General features: G+C 38.1%; 1 long non-coding RNA gene and 1 pseudogene across 2 annotated transcripts in view; one reads left to right on the forward strand and one right to left on the reverse strand.

The window, feature by feature from the left end:
- The window catches only part of LOC107987046 (uncharacterized), a 100037-nt gene that overhangs the window by 33985 nt on the left and 40703 nt on the right, over positions 1-25349 (reverse strand). The window contains exon 3 of one of the 2 annotated variants that reach the window (XR_001746613.3): positions 18726-18909. The exons of the other annotated variant lie outside the window; for it this stretch is intronic. This is a non-coding gene — a long non-coding RNA (uncharacterized LOC107987046). Of the gene's footprint in view, positions 1-18725; positions 18910-25349 lie in introns of those variants that run through there. 2 annotated transcript variants of the gene reach the window in all.
- On the forward strand, positions 16380-19773 carry SELENOTP1 (selenoprotein T pseudogene 1; annotated as a pseudogene).

Genomic DNA, 25349 nt, shown 5'->3' on the forward strand with positions numbered 1-25349 from the left:
ATCTCTCAGCATTTGCTTGTCTGTAAAGGATTTTATTTCTCCTTCACTTATGAAGCTTAGTTTGGCAGGATATGAAATTCTGGGTTGAAAATTCTTTTCTTTAAGAATGTTGAGGCCGGGCGCGGTGGCTCACGCCTGTAATCCCAGCACTTTGGGAGGCCGAGGCAGGCGGATCACGAGGTCAGGAGATCGAGACCACGGTGAAACCCCGTCTCTACTAAAAATACAAAAAAATTAGCCACGCGCAGTGGCGGGTGCCTGTAGTCCCAGCTACTCGGGAGGCTGAGGCAGGAGAATGATGTGAACCCGGAAGGCGGAGCTTGCAGTGAGCGGAGATCGCGCCACAGCACTTCCGCCTGGGCGACAGAACGAGACTCCGTCTCAAAAAAAAAAAAAAAAAGAATGTTGAATATAGGCCCCCACTCTTTTCTGGCTTGTAGAGTTTCTGCCGAGAGATCCGCTGTTAGTCTTATGGGCTTCCCTTTGGGGGTAACCTGACCTTTCTCTCTGGCCGCCCTTAACATTTTTTCCTTCATTTCAACTTTGGTGAATCTGACAATTATGTGTCTTGGAGTTGCTCTTCTTGAGGAGTATCTTTGTGGTGTTCTCTGTATTTTGTGAATTTGAATGTTGGCCTCCCTTGCTAGGTTGAGGATGTTCTCCTGGATAATATCCTGCAGAGTGTTTTCCAACTTGGTTCCATTCTCCCCATCACTTTCAGGTACACGAATCAGACGTAGATTTGGTCTTTTCACATAGTCCCATATTTCTTGGAGGCTTTATTTGTTTCTTTTTACTCTTTTTTCTCTAAACTTCTCTTCTTGCTTCATTTCATTCATTTGGTCTTCAATCACTGATACCCTTTCTTCCAGTTGATCAAATCGGCTACTGAAGCTTGTGCATGTGTCACATAGTTCTCGTGCCATGGTTTTCAGCTCCACCAGGTCATTTAAGGTGTTCTCTATGCTGTTTATTCTAGTTAGCCATTCATCTAATCTTTTTTCAAGGTTTTTAGCTTCTTTGCGATGGGTTCGAACATCCTCCTTTAGCTCAGAGAAGTTTGTTATTACCGATCTTCTGAAGCCTTCTTCTCTCAACTCGTCAAAGTCATTCTCTATCCAGCTTTGTTCCATTCCTGGCAAGGAGCTGCGTTCCTTTGGAAGAGAAGAGGCACTCTGATTTTTAGAATTTTCAGCTTTTCTGCTCTGGTTTCTCCCCATCTTTGTGGTTTTATCTACCTTTGGTCTTTGATGATGGTGACGTACAGATAGGGTTTTGGTGTGGATGTCCTTTCTGTTTGTTAGTTTTCCTCCTAACAGTCAGGACCCTCAGCTGCAGGTCTCTTGGAGTTTGCTGGAGGTCCACTCCAGACCCTGTTTGCCTGGTTATCACCAGTGGAGGCTGCAGAACCACAAATGTTGCAGAATGGCAAATTTTGCTGCCTAATCATTCCTCTGGAAGCTTTGTCTCAGAGGGGCACCTGGATGTATGAGGTGTCAGTCAGCCCCTACTGGGAGGTGCCTCCCAGTTAGGCTACTCAGGGGTCAGGGACCCACTTGAGGAGGCAGTCTGTCAGTTCTCAGATCTCAGACTTGGTGGTGTGAGAACCACTACTCTCTTCAAAGCTGTCAGACAGGAATGTTTAAGTCTGCAGAAGTTTCTGCTGCCTTTTCTTCAGCTATGCCCTTCCCCCAGAGGTGGAGTCTACAGAGGCAGGCAGGCCTCCTTGAGCTGCGGTGGGCTCCACCCAGTTAGAGCTACTTGGCCACTTTGTTTACCTACTCAAGCCTCAGCAATGGCGGGCGCCCCTCCCCCAGCCTCACTGCCATCTTGCAGTTTGATCTCAGACTGCTGTGCTAGCAGTGAGCAAGGCTCCGTGGGCATGGGACCCTCTGAGCAAGGCACAGGATATAATCTCCTGGTGTGCCATTTGCTAAGACCATTGGAAAAGTGCAGTATTAGGATGAGAGTGACCCGATTTTCCAGGTGCCGTCTGTTATGGCTTCCCTTAGCTAGGAAAGGGAATTCCCCAGCCGCTTGTGCTTCCTGGGTGAGGCGATGCCTCACCCTGCTTCAGTTCACAATCCATGGGCTGCACCCACTGTCCTGCACCTACTGTCCAACTAGCCCCAGTGATATGAACCCAGTACCTCAGGTGGAAGTGCAGAAATCACCGTCTTCTATGTCGCTCACACTGGGAGCTGTAGACTTGAGCTGTTCCTATTCAGCCATCTTGGAACCAAGACCCCGATATTCTGAAATTCTTAAGTGAAAGTAAGCATATTCCAATCTACCAATGTTGGTATCCGGAGTAGGTCATTACCTGATAATTTTGGTTATTCAAAACTAAGTAATATTTTCAAGAGAAGAGATTGTGTCTTTTTCACCTTTGTACTGTCAGTGCCCATACTGGTGGGTGGCAAGAAGGTGTTCAATGACTTTTACTCAGAATCAAACATCTAACAGGTACCTGCACCAGAACCTTGATCTGATCATTCTGACTCCTTAGGTAGATAACTTTCAACTCAGCTCACTTATTTTCTGTGTTTAAGTTTCCTTTTTTTAAAAAAAAAATTTCCACCATCATTATAGTCAGTATAATTTGATTAAAATATTCAAATATGAGGTGGCATTTTTGTCACTTACCTGTATGTGTTTTCATGGTCCAAATACACATTACTGGAAAGAATTTGTTCATTTCATTGTATCAGGAAGGATAATTGTGTCAAAACTTACTTTTTCCTCATTTTATTTGTCTTCTTTAGGTTTTTATGTATTTACTGACTATCTTGAAATACTGTCAAGAAAATTTTATTTGAACGAGTAAAATGACTTAGAATCGGGAAGAAATAAGTAAGAGTTGAGATTCAGGGGGAATTTGGAAAGAAAATTGCCAACCTAATTTGAAAACAGCAGCTTGATTTAAAACTAAAACAATTTATTCATAATCCCCACTTCTGCAGAACAAAATAAGCCAAAAAATAATTTCAATCCTTGTGCCTCACACTGAAAAATTTCATGATGGATAGAAATCTTCAGCTGCAATCCCATTACTGGGTATATACCCAGAGGAATAGGAATACAAATCTTTCTACCATAAATATACATGCACACAAATGTTCATTGCAGCACTATTCACAATAGCAAAGACACGGAATCAACCTAAATGTCCATCAGTGACAGACTAGATAAAGAAAGTGTGGTACATATACACACTAGAATACTATGCAGTCATGAAAAAGAATGAGATCATGTCTTTTGTGGGAATATGGATGGAGCTGGAGGTCATTATGAATTTATAAATACAAGTAGACTGGGGTCTACTTGAGGGTGGAGGGTGGGAGGAGGGAGATGAACAGAAAAGTTAACTATTGGGTACTGGGCTTAATTCCTGGGTGATGAAATAATCTGTACAACAAACTCCCATGACATGAGTTTACCTATGTAACAAACCTTCACTTGTACCCTCTAACCTATAACAAAAGTTTAAAAAAAATAATTTTAAAAACAGAAATCTTCAGCTGTGGTATGCCAGTGGGTGGTTGGAGTAGTAGGCTTGTCCCAAAACTCCTTCTCCCTTCAAGTATAAGCCTATACAGCCCTGAAATCTCATCTTCTAGCAGTTATACATCAAATAGGTGCCATATGTACTGTGACTTTGCTAGGCACCATGACAGCACAAAAGAAACTTAAGCCATGCTCCTTGTTCACATGGAAATTAAAACATGTACCATATGTATTATTATTATTTTTTTTAAACAGAGTCTCACTCTGTCACCCAAGCTGGAGTGCAGTGGCATGATCTCAGCTCACGGCAACCTCTGCCTCCTAGGTTCAAGCAATTCTCCTGCCTCAGCCTCCCTGGTAGTTGAGACTACAGGTGCCTGCCAGCACGCCCAGCTAATTTTTGTATTTTTTTAGTAGAGACAGGGTTTCACCATATTGGCCAGGTGGGTCTCGAACTCCGGACCTTGGTATCTGCCTACCTCGGCCTCCCAAAGTTCTGGGATTACAGGCGTGAGCCACCATTCCCAGCCCCCTAAAACGTGTACCATATGTATTATAACTCCAACTCTGCAGTACAGTTGTACAAAGGTGAGAAAGATCAGTGTGGATTTGTCATCAGGGAAAGAAATATAACTGAATTGTCTATCCCCATACCCTAACACCCATCCCTATCTATTCTTATATCCATTCTCAAGGTCTTGTTAAGCAGGTTCCTCATGTAGGTCTTAGGTAAAAGGGGTAAATTCAGTTGTTTTAACCCCTTTAGTGGTCAGGATTATATATGGGGACTTAGGAATCTGAGGAAATAAATCAAGAGATGAAAGTGATTGTGAGTTGGTAGAGGGAGGATCGATGAATTATTTCCTGCTGAAGTGCCAAGATGACTGTGATGGTTAATATTAGGTGTCAACTTGACTGAATTGAGGGATGCCTACATGGCTGGTAAAGTATTATTTCTGGGTGTGTCTGTGAAGGTGTTGCCAAAGGAGAGTGACATTTTTGTTTGTTTGTTTGTTTTTGAGACAGGGTCTCACTCTGTCACCTAGGCTGGAGTGCAGTGGAGCAATCTCAGCTCACTGCAACCTCAGCCTCCCAGGCTCAAGTGATCCTCCCACCTCAGCCTCCTGGGGAGCTGGGACTACAGGCACGTGCTACCACATCCACCTAATATTTGCATTTTTTTGTAGAGCCAGGGTTTCACTATGTTGTCCAGGCTGCTCTCAAACTCCCGGGCTCAAGCGATTCGCCTACCTCAGCCTCCCAAAGTGCTGGGATTATAGGCTGAGCCACCGCATCCTGCCAAGATTGACTTTTGAGTCAGTGGACTGAAAAAGGAAGAACCACCCTCAATGTGGGTAGGCACCATTCAATCAGCCACCAGCACAACTAGAACAAAGCAGGTGGAAGAAGGGTGATAAACTTACTAACTTAGTCTTCTCACTCTCTTCCCTTGCCGGGCACTTGCTTCCTTTCCTCCTATCCTCGGACATCAGACTCTAGGTTCTTCAGCTTTGGACTCTGAGATTTGCACTAGTGGCCTCCCAGGGGCTCTTGGGCCTTCAGCCTCAGACTGAAGGCCACACTTTCAGCCTCCCTGGAATTGAGGCTTTCTATCTTGGACTAAACCGCTCTACCAGCTTCTCTTTTTCCCCAACTTGTAGATGGCCTATTTTGGGACTTCACCTTTTAATCGTGTGAGCCAATTATCCTTAATAAACTCAGATAGATAGATAGATAGATAGATAGATAGATAGATAGATAGATAGATAGAGTGTATATATACATTGTGTGTGTGTGTATATATATATAGATATATATATATCTATATATATATATCTATATAGCTATATATATATATATCTATATAGCTATATATATATATATATATCTATATCTATCTATCTCCTACTGGTTCTGTCCCTCTGGAGAACCCTGACTAATACAAAGATGAAATACTTGTCCAAGTTTAATTACAGTCCCTAGCACAGAGGATGCGCCCACAAAGAGATCACGTGAATCAGTGTCCAATGTATTAAGAGCAGGGTTGGTTTGCTGCTTATAGGCTGTGCAACTTTGGTAAGGTAAGTAACCTCTCTCAATATCTATTTCTCCTCTGTAAATAGGGAGTACCAAATATTGTAATTGTCTACCTAATATCCACAACCACCATCCCTACTGCTTTACCAATAGACCCTCATTTTTTTTTTTTTACCAGACAACAGTGCACACAACTAAAAATACACTCTTTCCCAGATTCCCATGCAGCTAGATGGGGTAACCATTTGGCATAGTTCTGGACAATAAAATATAAGCAGGATAATGGTTTAAGAAAAACTTCTTTTAAAAAGACATATTTGACTGGCATGCCCTTTTTCAGTCTTTTACCCCTTCTCTTCCTGCCTGAGCCATAGATAGGATGCTGAATGCAGAGCAGCTAACTTCTGACCACAAGGTGATGAGCATGGGGACAAAGGCCTACAGATTAGAAGTGGCAGGAGGGGCCCGGCCAGGCTCACGCCTGTAATCCTAGCACTTTGGGATGCCAAGGTGGGCAGATCACTTGAGATCAGGAGTTCAAGACCAGCCTGGCCAACATGATGAAACCCCATCTATACTAAAAATACAAAAATTACTGAGTATGGTGGCGCACTCCTGTAATCCCAGCTACTCGGGAGGCTGAGGCAGGAGAATTGCTTCAACCTGGGAGGCAGAGGCTGCATTTAGCTGAGATCACGCCACTGTACTCTAGCCTGGGTGACAAAGCAAGAGTCTATCTCAAAAAAAAAAAAAAGGCAGGAGGGAAAGATGAAGGAATCCTGGTGTAGTAGACAATATTGGTGCTCTGTCCAAATTCCCTTGGATTTCTTTATATTGGATTATTTGATACTATTTCCATATGTGCCACACACCCATACCACCACTATCTTCCATGTTCTTTCAAAATCCAGCATTTGTAGCTCTTGTAAGGATTGCCTTTGTGGTATTGATGCTGCTTTGCCCCCTCGCATGGAGAGATGAAAATGTCTATGAGTTTGCATTACTCCCACCAGCCTCACAAGGCTTTTGAAAGCCCAGCTCCCCAGTTCTTGGGTGGAATACCTCTGTCTTAAATTTCACTCAAAAATTCTCCCATGGGGCTCATGCTGAATCTGCCCTGTTCTGCACTTTAGCATGAGATCACATTCTTAGATTCCTGCTTGTCCCTGCCCTGTCTTGCCCTGCCCTGACCTGACTGCCTTATCAGTATTTCTTGGGAATACTTCCTTAGTAAATCACATTATCATAATCCTTAACTCAGGATCTCCTCCTGGGGAAACTAATGTAAGATACCAGGTCGCATGTGACATTGGAGAGCTGCCATATCAATCTTGTAGTACTAACTGCAAACTTTATGTTGAGAGAAAAATAAACCCATGTTTGCTTAAGCTAGTGTTGGGTTTTCTGTTGAATATGCCTTAAAGCAAACTTAACCCATAGAAGACATGAAGGTAACACCTGCTTCTCAGGCCACTGATAAGAATTGCCTGGCACATAGCAAGCACTCAGTGAAAGTTAGCTTAGAAAAACCAACCAACCCGACTGATAAGAAGAACACTTTTTCTTAGGTACAATTAGAACACAATCAAATGACTCCACAACTTTAAGAGAATTTATTTTCTGAGAGATAAAATACGAAGCAGAAATCAGAAAGATGAAATCTGACAGGTATTAATCTACAAAACGAATCTACGAAAGAAATAGATATTTATTTATACTTCTCAACCTACAAATAGGTTTCATAAATTCTTTCATATATGTCTTAGTTCATTCAGGCCATGATAACAAAATTAACTGGGTAGCTTATAAACAACATAAACTTATTTCTAACAGTTCTGTAGGCTGGGAAATCCAAGATCAAGGCACTGGCAGATTCATTGTCTCGCAAGGGCCTTTTCAACCTAGACAGCATCTTTTGGTCATAACCTTACATGGCCAGAATGGCTACCTAACTCTCTGGAGTCTCTTTTATAAGGCACAAATTCTACTCATGAAGGCTCCACCTTCATGACCTAATAACTTCCCAAAGGTCTCGCCTCCTAATACCATCACCTTGGGGGTTAGAATTTCAACACTTGGGGGGACACAACCATTCGGACCACAGCAATATGCATAGAATATTACATTATAAATATAAAAAATGTAATAGTAAAAATCCTTCAAAAGATCATTGCATAAAAGTGCAGATGTTCCAAGACACAGGAATTGGATAACTAAAAATTTATATAATAATTTATTAATATTAAATAGGTCAGAAAAAAATAGAGAAATCAAAAGTTGTATATTGAAAAAATCAATAAAATTGATAAACCTTTGTCTAGACTGATCAGGAAAAAAAAAGAAAGAGGACACAAATTACCATTATCCATAATAAGAGAGTTAACATCAGTAGAGATTCTAAAGATATTAAAAATAATAAGATGGAAATATTATAGGCATCACTACATCAATAAATTTGACAACCGTAATGAAAACAGACAAATTCCTTGAGAGGCACAGACTACCAAGATTCACTCAAGAAGAAACAGGAAACATTAATAGCCCTCTATCTATTAAGGAAATTAAATGTAAAGCTCAAAATCTCATAAGAAAACTTCAACCTTCATTAGTGAATTCTTCCAAACATTTAAGGAGAAATAATATGAAATATATACAAACTCTTTCAGAAAAACTGAAGAGGAGGAAGTTTTATTTAATTTTTCTATGAGGCAAAATACACTGATATCAAAAACAACAATACAAGAAAACTACAGACCAATGTTTTTCATCAACAGAGACACAAGAATTCTACAGAATTCCATAAAAATTTTAGCAGCCAGGCATGCTGGCTCACATCTATTATCCCAGCACTTTGGGAGGCTGAGGCAGGAGTATCACTTGAGAAAATGACGCTGTCAGAAACAGAAATGAGGAGGTGGGAAACAGAAATTAGTATGAAGGAAGATAATGAGTTTGTTAGGACAGGTTGAGGGTCAACTGACAATGGGATTATTAAATGGAAATACAGTTGGAAATATAATTGGTACATTCAAAAATCTTGAAGCACAGTTGGTAATCAAAACATTAGTTGTCTTCCACCATCCCTTTATTCAACTCCTCCCTCTTATACTTTTCCATTCATTCTTAAGTAATAGACAGTCCTACTGTCATATTAAGTTGCAAATACAGTCTCAACTCAATAATTAGAATGTCCAGTTCCATGAATAGACAAACCTCTGAACTCAGTTTAGCCTCCCAAAGCCTCTGCTGGTTCACTCTGCTCTATGTGGCCCCTCATGGCATGTGGGGTTGCTCTTTCCCCACCCTGTGTGTATATGTGACTAATAAACCACTGCCAATCTCATCTGACCGGTATTGGCTGTTGTGTGTTCAGCCATCTCAAGGTCCTCCCTTTCCTTAACTAACAGAGTGGATAGGAAGTGTTCAGAACAGCTGGAAGCCTGCTGCAGGTTGAGGAAGGAGTAGTTAACAGACATCAAGGACTCTCAGACCCCTGACCCTCTTCATTCCTCACTCCACATTGCCCTCCACACTCCCCTGCCCAAGATCATCAGCTCCCAGGGTTTTAGCTGCCCCTTTATTGACTGATAACTCTCCAGACCAGATATTCTTCCTGAGTTGCAAGCCAGCTGTGCTTCCAATTGCCTATGGAACAGCACCATTTAGATATGATGCATGGTCACTGATCACCTGGACTTTAGGTTACTTCTTTGCATGATCTTCTCTCTCACAGCAAGACCTTTTGGGTCTGTAATATCTGAGACTGAGATAAAAAAGAGACTTGCTTTATCCTGAATTCTGACACCTGGAGTTGCCTGCCTGCCTGTAAGCTTTCTCTTTATCAATCTTTGGACTTTCCTAGTCCCCCCTTCTTGCCTAGGCTGAGGCCCTAAGCTGCTGCTCACTATTCATTCCTGACATTGAGCCTAATATTTGCAAAGGCTGGAGTCCAAAGAGATGTCAGTATTATACAACGTCAAATTTATCTAAGACAAAAATAGTCAGGTTCTGCTTAAGGTACATGACATGATCAAAGCTTCCTTAACACACTAAACCTAAAGAGAAATGTGGCATTTTTATGGACTCAACTGCCAATCACATTTGAGTAGGACCATTCCAGAAACCACAGAACTAATCAATAAAGCAGCCACGGATTGTGGGTTACTTTTGTGTTGAGCCTCCATATTAATAGAAGCATGATAGACAAAAAAGAGCATGAACTTTGGTACTAGAGAGATCCTGGTTCTAATTTCAATTTCTTCCAGCTATGGGACTTCATTCCACTCTGAACCTCAGTCTCTTTGCCTATAAAATGGGGCTAATACATCACTTAGACAGGGATTTTGAGAAGATGGGATAAGGACATGACCGTAAGCACTTAGCACAATGCCTAGCATAAATTAGGTCAACCAGTGTTAATCCTATTTCTCCTCCTCCACATTCATTTATAATTTAAAACCCAACCAGCCTTTTTCTTTCCCCTCAAAAGAGGCCTACTTGTCAAAGAGTCACACTCAAGGAAAACAAACAAAGGAGGAACTGGCCAGATGCTCCCTTAGGTCAGAACATTGCAGCTGTATGAGTCCTCAAACAGAGTGTTTTGTAAGTTAAACACAGCCAAGAGAGCTAACTATGTTTCTACTTGTTGGTGCTGATAATATGATATTGTGCAATAGTGGCCTTTGCTTCTGTTAAAAGAATTATTTTATTCCATGACATTAAACAAACAGTTTGGAATTTTGGAATGAGCCTTAGCTGGGACACTACCAGTTTGGCCTAAACAGTATCTATTCAGTGAGCAATCTTAAGTAATTATGGTAAAGCATTTTAAGGAGAACAGGATGAACTGATTTAGTAATTCAGTTTCATGCAACTACAACTTATTTAATAGAATTTTTCCTATTTTTCCCTGGAACTATCACCAAGACCCCATTGCTAGAAACAAAAACAGTAAAGTACCCAATATTTGAAATTCAGCTATTTGGGGCAGCAGTCTCTCCCTTGACACATCCTTCCCCTTCCTTGTAAAAGAGGACTAAGAGGTGATAGAAGTCATCTTACTTTTTTTTTTTTTAGCAGGGTCTCGCTCTGTTGCCCAGGCTGGAGTGCAAAGAGGTAATCACGGCTCACTGCAGCCTCAACCTCCCACCTTATTAAGTGATCCTCCTGCCTCAACCTCCTGAGTTGCTGTCACTACAGGCATGTGCCACCACGCCTGGTTAATTTTTTTCTTGTTTCTTGTAGAAATGAGGTCTCACTATGTTGCCCAGCCTAGTCTTGAGCTTCTGGCCTCAAGTGATCCTCCTACCTTGCCCTCCCAAATTGCTGGGATTACAGGTGTGAGCCACTGCACCTGGCCAAAAAGTCATCTTTTTGAGGAACACTAAGTTTGTAAAGAGGAAAAAAATCCCCTTCCCTTTATTTATTGGAAACCAAAAGTGAACATTTCCCATAAAATAAAAAAATATGGCTAAATTTGGGGAGCCAGCCAAAGGATACTAATATTTGATTACTTGGCTGGTGCCTGCTCTACTACAGGTCCTGCCCAAATACTACTGAGCCAGGGAAGGCATGTTTAGGAAAGAATCTGGAATGGTCCAATAACAGTTTGAGAAACTTTATAAGACTGTTCTTTCAGTATTTGACAGAATAATTATACCAAAAAAAATCATTAATTATAGAGAAGACTGACAACACTATCAACTAAATTGACCTAGTGGACATTTACAGAACACTCTACCTAACAACAGCAGAATATACATTATTTTCAAAGCACCTAGAACATTCACCAAGAAACACAAAACAACTGAAATCACATTAAGTATGTTCTCAGGCTGGGCGCAGTGGCTCACACCTGCAATCCCAGCACTTTGGGAGGCTGAAGCGGGTGGATCGCTCGAGGCCAGGAGTTCAAGACCAACCTGGCCAACATGGCTAAACTCCAACTCTACTAAAATACAGAAAAAATAGCTGGGCATGGTAGTCCCCACGACTGTAGTCCTAGCTACTCCGGAGGCTGAGGCATGAGAATCTCTTGATCTTGGGAGGTAGGGGTTGCAGTGAGCCGAGATCATGCCACTGCACTCCAGCCTGGCCAACAGAGTAAGTTTCTCTCTAAAAAAAAAAACAAAAAACTTACCTGACCACATTAGAATTAAATTAGAAGTCAATAAGAGAAAGATATTTGGAAAATCTCCAAGTATTTGGAAATTAAACAATACTTTTCCATAACTATATACCCCAAAAAAATCACAACGAAAATTAGAAAATATTTTATTTAAATGAAAATAAATGTAATATGTCAAAATAAGTGGGACACAGCTAGAGTAATGTTTAAAGGGAAGTTTACAACATTAAATGCTTATTTTAGCAAAGTCTCAAATCAGTGCTATAAACCTCCACATTAAAAACTAGCAAAAGAAAAGCAAATTAAACCCAAAGCAAGAAGAAAAGATATAATAAATGGGAGAAATCAGTGAAATAGAAAACAAACAAACAAACAAAAAAACAAATAAATAAGCCCTGGTTCTTTAGATAGCTCAGAAAAACTGATAAACCTGCCACTAGACTGGTCAACAACAACAACAAAAAGATGTAAATTATCAATATCAGGAATGAAAGAAGAGGCATCACTATCAATCCCATAGGACAATAAGAGAATACTTTTAAAATATTTTTGTTAATATATTTGAAAGCTTACATGAAATGGACAAATTCCTTGAAATCATTACTCACACTCACTGAAGAAGAAATAGATAATTTGAATAGCCATGTTTATTAAAGAAATTGAAATCATAGTTAAAACTTTGCCACAAAGTGAACTCCAGGCCTAAATGACTTCACAGGTGAGTTCTAGCCAGCAATTAAGGAAGAAATTATACCAATTTTACACAAACTTTTCCAGAAAAATAGAAAGGAGGGAAACAAAAACTCATTTTATGATGACAGCATTATCCCCAATAGCAAAACCAAATATGTTTCAAGAAACTAAAACAGAACAACCAATATCCTTCCTGAATATCAACTCAAAAATATTTAACAAAATATTGATAAGTTGAAACCAGTAATATATAAAACATAATACATTATTAAATGTGATTTATTCCAGGTATGCAGGGTTGGTTCCACATTTGAAAATCAATCATAATCAAATTCATTATATCAACAAATTCAAAACCAAAATGATATCTTAATAAATACAGAAAAGGACTTGCAAAATTCAACATCCCTTTGGGATTAAAAACTATCAGCAAACTAGAGATAAAAGGGAACTTCCTCAACATGATAAAAATCATCTACACAAAACATAAATTTAACCTCATCTTCAATTCTGAAAGGCTGAATGCTTTCCCTCTATAGCAATCAGCAAGGATGTCTGTTCTCACTATGTCTATTTTAATATTGTACTGGAGATACTAACCAGCACAATCAGGCAAGAAGAAGAAATAAAAGCCAATAGATTAAAAAAAAGCAAAACTATCTTTATCTGCAGATGACATGATCTTATATATTGAAAATTCTAAAGAAGCAATGAAAAAAAGTTATTAGAACTTACAAGTAAATTTAGTAAGGTCACAAGACATAGGGCCAATATACAAAAATGTATGCAGTATATATTTCTTATATACTATCAAAAAATAATTATAAACTAAAATGTGAAAAAATATATACAATAGAATCAAAACAAAAAATACATAGGAATACACTTAACAAAATATTTCAAGGCCTATACCACAAAAACCATAAAATATTACTGAGAAAAGTTCTTAAAGATGTAACTAAATGAAGAGCTATACCACATGTATGCATAGAAATAATCAATATTAATATGTTAATTCTTCCAAATTTATCTATAGATTTAGTGCTATCCCTGTCAATGCCACAGCAAGTTTTTTCAATAGAAATTGATAAGCTGATTATAAAATTTAAATGAAAATCTCAAGGACCTAGAAGAGACTCTTAAAAAAAGTTTAAAAGAGCACTTGAAGTCTCACACTACCTGATTTCGAGACCAGCTACAAAGCTACAGTAATGAAGACAATGTGACCTTTAAAGATAGACATATAAGTCAGTGGAACAGAAGAGTGTAGAAATTGCTCCAACCATATATGGTCAATTGCCTTTCAACAAAGATGTAAATCAGTGGAGAAAGGATGCTTTTTCAACAAATGGTGCTTGGATAATTGGACATCTGTAAGAAAGAAAGGGGGGAGAAAGGGAGGAAAGGAGGTAAAAAGCAGGGAGGGAGGGAAGGGAAGGAAAACAAGGAAGGGAAGGAGAGGAAAGAAGAAAAGGTAAGGAAGCGAAGGAAAAAATGAACATCTGTCTTTATTTCATGTCACACACAAAAATTAATTTAAAAAGACACAGACCTAAATACAAGAGCTAAAACTATAAAACTTCCCTAAGAAAACGCAGGAAAAAATCTGTAAGAAAGAAGACATCTGTAAGAATCCGTAAGGGCATCTGTAAGAATCCGTAAGGGCATCTGTAAGAAAGAAGACGGAGGGAGAGAGGGAGGGAAGGAGGAAAAAAGCATGGAGGGAGGGAAGGGAAGGAGAGGAAAGAAGAAAAGGTAAGGAAGCGAAGGAAAAAATGAACATCTGTCTTTATTTCATGTCATACACAAAAATTAATTTAAAAAGACACAGACCTAAATATAAGAGCTAAAACTATAAAACTTCCCTAAGAAAACGCAGGAAAAAATCGGCACCTGACGCTGAGCAGCCGAGCATGCGACGTGGCCTGCACCTTGCACAGGGCCTAGGAACCCGTGGCCGCCTTGAGGGCTGAGGGTGGGCACTACCGACGCTGCCACGACCAGGTTCAGCCCTTGTTGCACAAATTCACCAAAAAAAAAGAAAAATGAATGGATAAGAGAAAATGGTATTGGAACAGTGGGAATCAGCAATTTTGCACAGGAAGCTTTTTGGGAGATGTTTACTGTAGTATGCCTGAAATTGGGACAAAATCGAACAAACGAGACTAGTTTAGTGCTTTGGAAAGTGTGAAAGCTGCTACTGAACTTTATTCTCCTCTATCAGAAGAAGTTACCAAAATTAATGAAGCTCTTGTAGAAAATCCAGGACTTGTCAGTAAATCTTGTTATGAAGATGGTGGGCTGATCAAGATGACACTGAGTAACCCTTCAGAACTAGATGAACTGATAAATGCAGAGGCATATGAGAAATATGTAAAATCTACTGAGAGGTGAAAATGGAACCCCTAGAAAAACTAGTATGAAACAAAATTATTTAAAAAGAGTACACACTCTATGATTCTATTTATATAGCATTCTAAAAAGCCAAACACTATATTAGACAGTAGTGGTTGCCTAGGGCAGGGATGGATTACAAAAGGACAACCTTTTGCAGTGATGGAAATGTCCTATATCTTGATTGTGGTGGTGGTTATACATCCGTATACTGCTAAAACTCATCAAACTATATACTTTAAAATGATGAGTTTTACTGTATTAAAACTATCCCTCAATAAACCTGACTAAAAACTAAAGTAGAATGGCAGTCGGCCTGATGCCATGCAGTGTGGAATTCACGTACTAGCCTGTGAGTGAAACCTTTTGACATTTTTAGAGAGAACTGAAAGTGCAATGGTTTTTATAGGGTCTTTTTGTTTGTTTGTTATTAACCAATTTGAAGTCTGGTACAATGCTAAATTCCGCAGTGGGACTGGAATTTGGTTTGCCTAGAATAACAGGAAAACAAACTGCTGCTTATAGTGAGAGGTGGTAGAATATAATGGTTAAAAAGAAAACATGATTAAAATAAGATGCAACTACACACCTATTCAAATGGCCAAAATCCAAAACACTAATAATATCAAATGCTGGCAAGGATGTTGCGCAACAGGAATTCTCATTCATTGGGGGTGGGAGCAAAATGATACAGCCACTTTGGAAGACAATTTGGCAGTTTCTTACAAAACTAAATATAGTCTTACCATATAACCCAGCAGTTTCGCTCCTAAATAATTACTCAAACACTTAGTTAAATTCTAGTCAAATACTTGAGTTAAAAAATTAAATCCACATAAAAACCTACACATGGACATTTATAGCAGCTTTATTCATAATGGCCCCAAATTAAAAGCAACCAAAATGCCCTTCAATAGATGAATGGGCAATCCAGACAGTGAAATACTATTCAGCAATAAAAGGAATGAGCTATTAAGTCACAAAAAAATATGGAGGATCCCTAACTTACTAAGTGAAAGAAGCTAGTCTGAAAGGCTACATACTCTGATCCCAACTACAGTCATGCACCACACAATGACATTTCAGTCAGTGATGGACCATATATACCACTGTATCACATAAGATTATAATGGAGCTGAAAAATTCCTATTACCTACTTATGACATAATCATCATAACATCCTAGCACAACACATTCCTCATGTTTGTGATGATCCTGGTGTAAACAAACCTACTGCACTGCCAGGCATATAAAACTATAGCACATGCAATTATGTACATAACTTTTTACATACACAAACATTGTACAACTGTATAAAAGTATTTTATTTATATCCTTATCTATAAGCTTTTTTCTATTTTTTAAATTTTTTAATTCTTTTTTTTACTTTTTAAACTTTTTTGTTAAAAACTAAGACACACACACCTTAGCCTAGGCCTACACAGAGTCAGGATCGCCAATATTACTGTCTTCCACCTCCACATCTTGTCCCACTGGAATTTCTTCAGGGGCAATAACACACATAGAACTGTCACCTTCTATGATAATGAGGTCTTTTTCTGGAATACCTGGAAAAATCTGCCTGAGGCTGTTTCACAGTTACCCTGAAAAAAACATAGAGAGTGGCGGTGTCTGTGATGGTCCGGAGCGAGGCCTCGGCCAATCTGGGTGGCGTGCCCAGCGAGATTAAAGATGCAGTACGCCACGGGGCCACTGCTCAAGTTCCAGATTTGTGTTTCCTGAGGTTATAGGCGGGTGTTTGAGGAGTACATGTGGGTTACTAGCCAGGGGTACCCAGACATCCGTATTGAAGGAGAGAATTACCTCCCTCAACCAATGTATAGACACATAGCATCTTTCCTGTCAGTCTTCAAACTAGTATTAATAGGCTTAATAATTGTTGGCAAGGATCCTTTTGCTTTCTTTGGCATGCAAGCTCCTAGCATCTGGCAGTGGGGCCAAGAAAATAAGGTCTATGCATGTATGATGGTTTTCTTCTTGAGCAACATGATTGAGAACCAGTGTATGTCAACAGGTGCATTTGAGATAACTTTAAATGATGTACCTGTGTGGTCTAAGCTGGAATCCGGTCACCTTCCATCCATGCAACAGCTTGTTCAAATTCTTGACAATGAAATGAAGCTCAATGTGCATATGGATTCAATCCCACACCATCGATCATAGCACCACCTATCAGCACTGAAAACTCTTTTGCATTAAGGGATCATTCCAAGAGCAGCTTGACTGACATTATGAAGGCCTGTACTGAAGAGAGCAAGCTGTTAGTACAGACCAAATGCTTTCTTAGCATGCTCGTTGTACCTCTTGGAAAACCTCAATGCAAGATAGCTTTTCCGTGCTGGCATATTTTGGAATTCTTCACATTCATGGAGTGCAATAATACTGTATAGCTTTCCCCACCCCCCACACAATCACCCAGTTAATGTGTGTTTTTTTTTAAGGTAGACATTACTACTTGTAACTTTTTTCCTTAGTCGTATTTGAAAAAGTAGAAAATTGAGTTACAATTTGATTTTTTTTCCAAAGATGTCTGTTAAATCTGTTGTGCTTTTATATGAATATTTGTTTTTTATAGTTTAAAATTCATCCTTTGGGAATCCAGTTGAAGTTCCCAAATACTTTATAAGAGTTTATCAGACATCTCTAATTTGGCCATGTCCAGTTTATATAGTTTACAAAATACAGCAGATGCAAGATTATGGGGGAAATCCTATATTCAGAGTACTCTACAAATTTTTGTGTATGTGTGTATGTGCGTGTGATTACCAGAGAACTACTAAAAAAACCAACTGCTTTTTAAATCCTATTGTGTAGTTCAAGTGTCATGCCTTGACCAATCTAATGAATTGATTAATTAACTGGGCCTTTATACTTAACTAAATAAAAAACTAAGCAGATATGAGTTAAATTTAAAAGTTTCAATTTATTGCTCAATGTTCCTGTTAACATTATATTTAACAATTGCTTAAATTTTTGTTTTTGATTTATGGATAATTTCTTAAGAGTACACACTTTAGACACACAAATAATGGTTCATTTACCATCTTTAGGATCATTGAAACTCATCTCACTAAAGAAAGTTCACTTGAAGCTCTTTATAGCATTGATACTAGGTGAACAGAAATTACCTGGCTAATAATTTGTCTAACATCATATATCAGAATTGTATTGTATATGATGAACAAAACTTAAAATTTTTTTAATTTAATTTTTAAATACTGTTTCAGAGTTCTAAAAAGGCAGTTTTTTAAAAAACTTAAATTGATAAAGACTGTAAGAATAATTTAGCAGAAATAGAACCACAATGTAGAAAAATAGTCATGTAACAGCAGTAATAACATACTTCAGCTTCCATATAGGGATAGAAGTGGTAGAGCCAAAAGTTATAAGGAAGTTATAAGGTACAGGTTGAGTATCCCTTTTCCAAAAAATGCTTGGGACAAGAAGTATTTCAGATTTCATAATTTTTTTCAAAGTTTGGAATATTTGTGTTATACTTACCAGTTGGGCATCCCAAATCTGAAATCTGAAATGTTCATGAGCATTTCCTTTGAGTGTCATGTTGGCACTCAAAAAGGTTCAACATTGAGTCCACTTAACACTTAGGTGTTAGGAGACCTAACTTTCTGTAACCTTATAATTAATTAACCTTATACTTTGTTTGTCATCGAATATTTGTTGAATGCATGTCAGGTAATAGTCTTGATTGTGATAGCTTCAAGGTGGAACATACTGTAATCTCCAGATGCTAGGAAGTTAGTCTAATAATTCACTGCAGAAAATTGATTAAATGGCTGTCCTTTTAATTAAGATTATGGAGCCATTAACTTAAGTTCTTCATATAGTGACAAGAGTCCTTAGAGATTGTTATTCAAGTTCCTTAGAAATTGTTATTTAGGTATAATATCATCTTGTCTTCGACTAGAGCTTGAAACCTTGTTATCTGATTGTGTACCACTCCAAATTCCCTGCCTTCTGCAAGTTGAATGTCTTGCTGAATGTGTCTAGGGGTTCATCTTCAGTAATCGACATTCCACTAGTGCCAGTTAACTTCTTTTTTTTTTTTTTTTTCCAGTTAACTTCATGACATGTAGACATTCAAAACTTGAGCCTTGGATGTTCCTGTGGACCTGACAGTTAAAAATATAAAGAACCTAAGATTCAAATCCAACTTTCTCTGTTTGCCTTGGGTTGAATAACTTATCTTTTGGAGAACAGCTTTAAGTGCCTTGGACACTGATAAAATTCAGCTATATTGTTGACACTCATCTCTTTTGTCTTATGCTTAGCCATATTTAAATCTTAAATTTAATAGAGTCTAGTGAAAAAATGAGTGGGAAGAATGAATATAAAAGTAATAATATAAGGAAAAAGGGAAAGTAAACTATTTAGAATGTAGTTTTGTTATATTCCCAGCATTTCAATATTTATTAGTTACTTGTAAATTACTGTGGCTGTGTAGCTTATAAATGTCTGTGCACTATATTAATTAGAAGACCATAGAACATGCCAGCAGGTTGGCTAATGCTATGGGGGATTTTACCACAGTTGCCATTGTGGAAGAAATTATTTGGTACATTAATAAAAAAAGTTGGTAAAACATGGTTTTATACCTCAGTGTATAAGATGTACAAGACAAATATGCTTATTTCTTTTTCTAGAATGTAAGTGATATTATTTGCTTATGACACTAACACTAGGAATGACAGAAGTCAATCAGCCTTTACAGCTATCAAAATATAATGAGATCCCAATGATGATTCTTTTTTACTTTGAATGTTAATTAGTTTGGGACTTTGATTGGCTGGCAAACATTTTATCATTGTCAGAATTTAATTTAGATTTCAAAAATAGCTTGCAGGATTTTAAACATGGTGTGGTATTCTAAAGCCTTTTTTTAAAAAAAGAGATCTTTTTGAGAGAAACAAATGAGCATTGTAAAGTTTGGGGACTTACCTCTGCAGCACTGTGAAAATAAACTTTTATTAAGCTGAGAAACAAACAAACAAACAAAAAAACAAATAGAACAAGTACACTAAAATAATAACAAGCCGAGTATGGTAGATACATAAACAAGTACAATAGTTTGTTTGATATCATTATTGATAACTATGGACTCTAGTTAGTAACAATGTACCAATATTGATTCATCAACTATAACAAATGTAACACACCAATGCAAGATGCTAATTATAAAGGAAGCTGTGGGGAGGTAGGAAGCAGTATAGGTGGGAATTCTCTCTACTTTCCACTCAATTTTTCTATAAGCCTAAAACTGCTCTAAAAAATAAATTTTATTAATTTATACATATATTTGTAAATGTAGATGATAGATGCAGACTACCTGAGTTTAAATCCTGGCTTTGTTCCTTACTTAGTTGGGTGAACTAGGCTAGTGATTTAATCTCAACTTTCTTGTGTATAAATTAGAAATACTGCAGTGACTACTACATTATAAGATTGTTTTGAGGATTAATATGCATAATTTCCTTGGAAACTTGCTATTTAAAATATGGTTCTTAGACATGCAACATTCTCATTCACCTGGGAGCAAGTTAGAAATGGAGAATTTCAGCCAGGTGCAGTGGCTCACACCTATAATCCCAGCACTCTGGGAGGCTGAGGCAGGCAAATCGCTTGAGCCCAGGAGTTCAAGACAAGCCTGGACAACATGGAGAAACCCCATCTCTACAAAAAATTTTAAAAACTAGTGGGTGTGGTGGCCCATGCCGGTAGTGCCAGCTGAGATGGGAGGATCGCTCAAGCCTGGGGAGGTCAAGGCTGCAGTGAGCTGTGATTGTGCCACCGCACTCTGGCCTGGGTGGCAGAACAACACCCTGTCTCAAAAAAAAAAAAAAAAGAAAGAAAGAAAAAGAAAAAGAAAGAAAAGAAAAGAATGGAAAATTTCACACCTCATCTCAGTCATACTAAATCAGCATTTTAACGAGATATACAGACTACTTATGCACACATCATTGCACTGATTCATGTGAATGGTTCCCCTAGTCATGCACCATGCGGCCTCTGAGAAAAGCACAATATTGAACTCTATCCTAGCCTCCCAGAGATTTTTAACCTCTACTTCTTCCAAGAATTTTTGTTCCTGGACTTAGAAGTCAGGGCAGAGGCAAGCCAGGAAAGGCAGCAAACCAGTTTAACTTCCTCCTCTCTCTCGTTGCCTTATATCTTCTTTTGCCCCTTTGCTCTCTGCCCCAATCCTCACAATAGTTAACAGCTACTTTACCCAAATATCAAACTAGCCAGAGAAGCTACTGAACATGATCATTTAAAAAAAAAAAAAAAAAAAAAAAAAGAACTTTCTTGGCCAGACGCAGTGGCTCACACCTGTAATCCCAGCACTTTGGGAGGCCGAGGCAGGCGGATCACGAGGTCAGGAGATCGAGACCATCCTGGCTAACACGATGAAACTCCATCTCTACTAAAAATACAAAAAAAATTACCCAGGCGTGGTGGCGGGCGCCTGTAGTCCCAGCTACTCAGGAGGCTGAGGCGGGAGAATGGCGTGAACACGGGAGGCCGAGCTTGCAGTGAGCCGAGATTGCGCCACTGCACTCCAGCCTGGGAGACAGAGCGAGACTCAGTCTCAAAAAAAAAAAAAAAAGAACTCTCGCAACTAGGAAACCTCTTCAGCCATTACTCTTCATCCCTTATTTGTTTGGTTGGGTTTTTTTTGACAATACTAGGACTTGGCCAATCTAAAATTCTAACAAAGCAACTTGCCAAAACTGAGAAGATATTGACAATCTGCCAGGCAGAGCCATCACAGCTTCCATTCTCATGCTCAAAAACAGAGGCTCCTTCATAGTGTGCCAAAGGTTTCTACTGTGTCAGTTAAATTCTAGTGAATAAGACCACAGTAGACTAAACTCTTTCCTAAAGCAACCGTCCTCCTTACAGAAGCCTTTGTTTTTTTAAAAAATTATATTTTAATTTTTATGGGTACATAGTAGGTATGTATATTTATGGATTACATGAGACATTTTGACACAAGCATGCAATAACAATAATAATAATCACATCAGGGTAAATGGGGTTTCTATCACCTCAAGCATTTATCTTTTGTGTTACAAACCAATTATACTCTTTTTAGTTATTTTTGAATGTACAATCAAATTACTTTTTACTATAGTCACCCTGTTGTGCTAGCAAATACTAGGTATTATTCATTCTTTCTATTTTCTTGTACCTATTAACCATCCCTACCTCCTCCCCAACTTTCCCTGTCCCATTGCTCTTCCCAACATCTGATAACCATCATTCTATTCTACTCTCTTTCTCCATGAGTTCAGTTGTTTTTAATTTTTATCTCCCACAAATAAGTGAGAACATGCAAGGTTTGCCTTTGTGTGCCTGGCTTATTTCACTTAAGGTAATGACCTCCAGTTCCATCCATGTTGTTGCAAATGACAGAATCTCATTCTTTTTTATGGTTGAATAATATTCCATAGTGTATATATGCTACATTTTATTTATCCATTCATCTGTTCATGGACACTTAGGTTGCTTCCAAATCTTGGCTATTGTGAATAGGGCTGCAATAAACATGGAAGTGAAAATATCTCTTCAATGTATCAATTTCCTTTCTTTTGAGCATGTAACTAGGAGTGGGATTGCTGGATCACATGGTAGCTCTATTTTCAGCTTTTTCAGGAACCTCCAAACTGTTTTTCGTAGTGGTTGTACTACTGTATATTCCACCAACAGTGTATGAGGGTCCCTTTTTCTCCATGTCCTTACCAGCAGTTGTTATTGCCTGACTTTTGGATAAAAGCCATTTTAACTGGGGTAAGATATCTCATTGCAGTTTTGATTTGCATTTCTCTGATGATCAATGCTGTTGTACACCTTTTCATATACCTATTTGCCGTTTGTATATCTTCTTTTGAGAAATGTCTATTCAGATATTTTTCCCATTTTTTTGTCAGATTATTAGATTATTTACCTACAGAGTTGTTTGAGCTCCTTAGATATTCTAGTTATTAATCCCTTTTTAGATGGATAGTTTGCTAATATTTTCTCCCATTCTGTGAATTGTCTCTTCACTTTGTTGATTGTTTCCTTTGCTGTGCAGAAGCTTCTTAACTTGATGTGATCCTATTTGTCCATTTTTGCTTTGGTTGCCTGTGCTTGTGGGGTATTACTCAAGAAATCTTTGCCCACTCCAATGTCCCAGAGAGTTTCTCCAATGTTTTCTTTTAGTAGTTCCATAGTTTGAGGTCTTAGACTTAAGTCTTAATCCATTTTTATTTTTGTATATAATGAGAGATAGGGTCTACTTCATTTTATGCATATAGGTATCCAGTTTTCTCAGTACCATTTATTGAAGAGACTGTCCTTTCCCCAATGTATTAAATATGTTATTGGTACCTTCATCGAAAATGAGTTCACTGTAGATGTATGGGTTTATTTCTGGCTTCTCTATTCTGTTCTGCTGGTCTATGTGTCTGTTTTTATGCCAGTACCATGCTGTTTTGGTTACTATAGCTCTGTAGTATAAATTGAAATCAGGTAATGTGATTCCTCCAGTTTTGTTCTTTTCGTGTAGAATAGCTTTGGCTATTCTGGGTCTTTTGTGGTTCTGTATAAATTTTAGGATTGTTTTTTCTATTTCTGTGAAGAATGTCATTGTTATTTTGATAGAGATTGCACTGAATCTGTAGATTGCTTTGGATAGTATGGACATTTTACCAATATTGGTCCTTCATATCCATGAACATGGAATCTCTTTCCAATTTTAAGGTCCTTTTCAATTTTTTCATCAATATTTGATAGTTTTCATTGTAGAAACCTCTTACTTCTTTGATTAATTCCTAGGTATTTGTTTTATTTGCAGCTATTGTAAATGGGATTGCTCCATTGTTTTTTTCTTACATTGTTCACTCTTGGCATATAAAAATGCTACTGATTTTTGTATGTTGATTTTTTATCCTGCAACTTTACTGAATTTGTTCATCAGTTTTTGAAATAGATTTGTGAGGGCAGTGCATGCATCTTTGAAGAGCATTAGATTAAGAATCTTGTAAAACACTGAATACCACAAAAATGAACAAGAGGAAAATTAACAAATCTATAATTTTTAATGCTAAATGCTGTAATTCATGATAAAGATATAACAAGAATATTTATGCATTAGATACTACAGAAACCAACTTTATGAAACAAAATCTACATGAGCTGCAAGGAGACTTAGAAACATGTTAATAATAGAATATTTTAATATATTAACTCTCAGCACAAAACAAGTAGACACAAAAAGTAAGGAGATAGCCAATCCAAACAATATACGTAATAACATATATCTTTTAGAGTTATGTTGAACCCTATACCTGAAAATAGAGAATGCAACTTTTCAAGAACCTGTGTAACACAAATACTGGTCATATATTAGATCACAAAGAAAATACTACTAATTTTCATAATGTAGAAATATTACAAACAACACTCCCTGATCACAATATGATAAAACTAGAAAATACTTACAAAAATAAAATCAGAAAGGTCTTTCCACCTGGAAATATTAAAATCTTCTACTATTAAACAACTCTGGGTGAAAGAAGAAATACAGCTGAAACTATAGAATATTCAAACAATGACAATGAAAACAACTACATATCAGAATCTATGGGATACATAATAACAGCCACCAGAGGAAAATCCATAGCAGCTGTTAAGAAAAAAAAAATTACCCATGACATTTGTTAAAACAGTAAAGCAGAGTTTATTCAGGACTATTGCAATAGTTACAGGGACTACTACGGTGAGGTTTTGAAGTACAGGAGACTGATTGGGCCCAGCTCCAAAAAGAATAAGGAAAAGGGGGAATTTATAGTCAAAGAGCAGAGTTGGGAGTAAGGGAGGTCAGTAGATAGAAAATTACTAAGAGAGTAGAGTAATCCTTGCTAAACTGACCTAAAAAGAATCTTGCTAACAGCAGGCCAAGGTAATCAGATATTACCTGGGAGATGGCGGAGAATGAGGAATTTGATCATATATTTAAGGGTAATCAAATATTGAGGGTGGGGGATTCTAGCTAAGCTGAGTTAGCAGGATTCTTGCTGAGGACATACCTAAAGATAGTGCCTACTTGAAAAAACAGCTGAAAGGAATCTAACTAGAATTTTATCACGGAAAGAATCTTTGCACAGTAAACACTTTTAATCAGTAAAGATAAATGATTGAAGATAAATGAATTAAAATTTCAGGTTAAAAAAAAAAACAAAAACAGAACAATAAAATAAGCCAAGATAAAGCACAAGGAAGAGACCGGGCACAGTGGCTCACGCCTGTAATCCCAAAACTTTGGGAGGCTGAGGCAGGCAGAGCACTTGAGGTCAGGAGTTTGAAACCAGCCTGGCCAACGTGGCAAAACTCCATCCTACTAAAAGTACAAAAATTAGCCAGGTGTGGTGGTGGGCGCCTGTAATCCCACCCATTTGGGAGGCTGAGACATGAGAATCACTTGAACCCGGGAGGTGGAGGTTGCAGTGAGCTGAGGTCACGCCATACACTCCAGCCTAGGCAACAGAGCGAGACTCTGCCTCAAAAAAAA

This window comes from Homo sapiens, chromosome 9 (assembly GCF_000001405.40).
Source record: "Homo sapiens chromosome 9, GRCh38.p14 Primary Assembly".
NCBI lineage: Eukaryota > Metazoa > Chordata > Mammalia > Primates > Hominidae > Homo > Homo sapiens.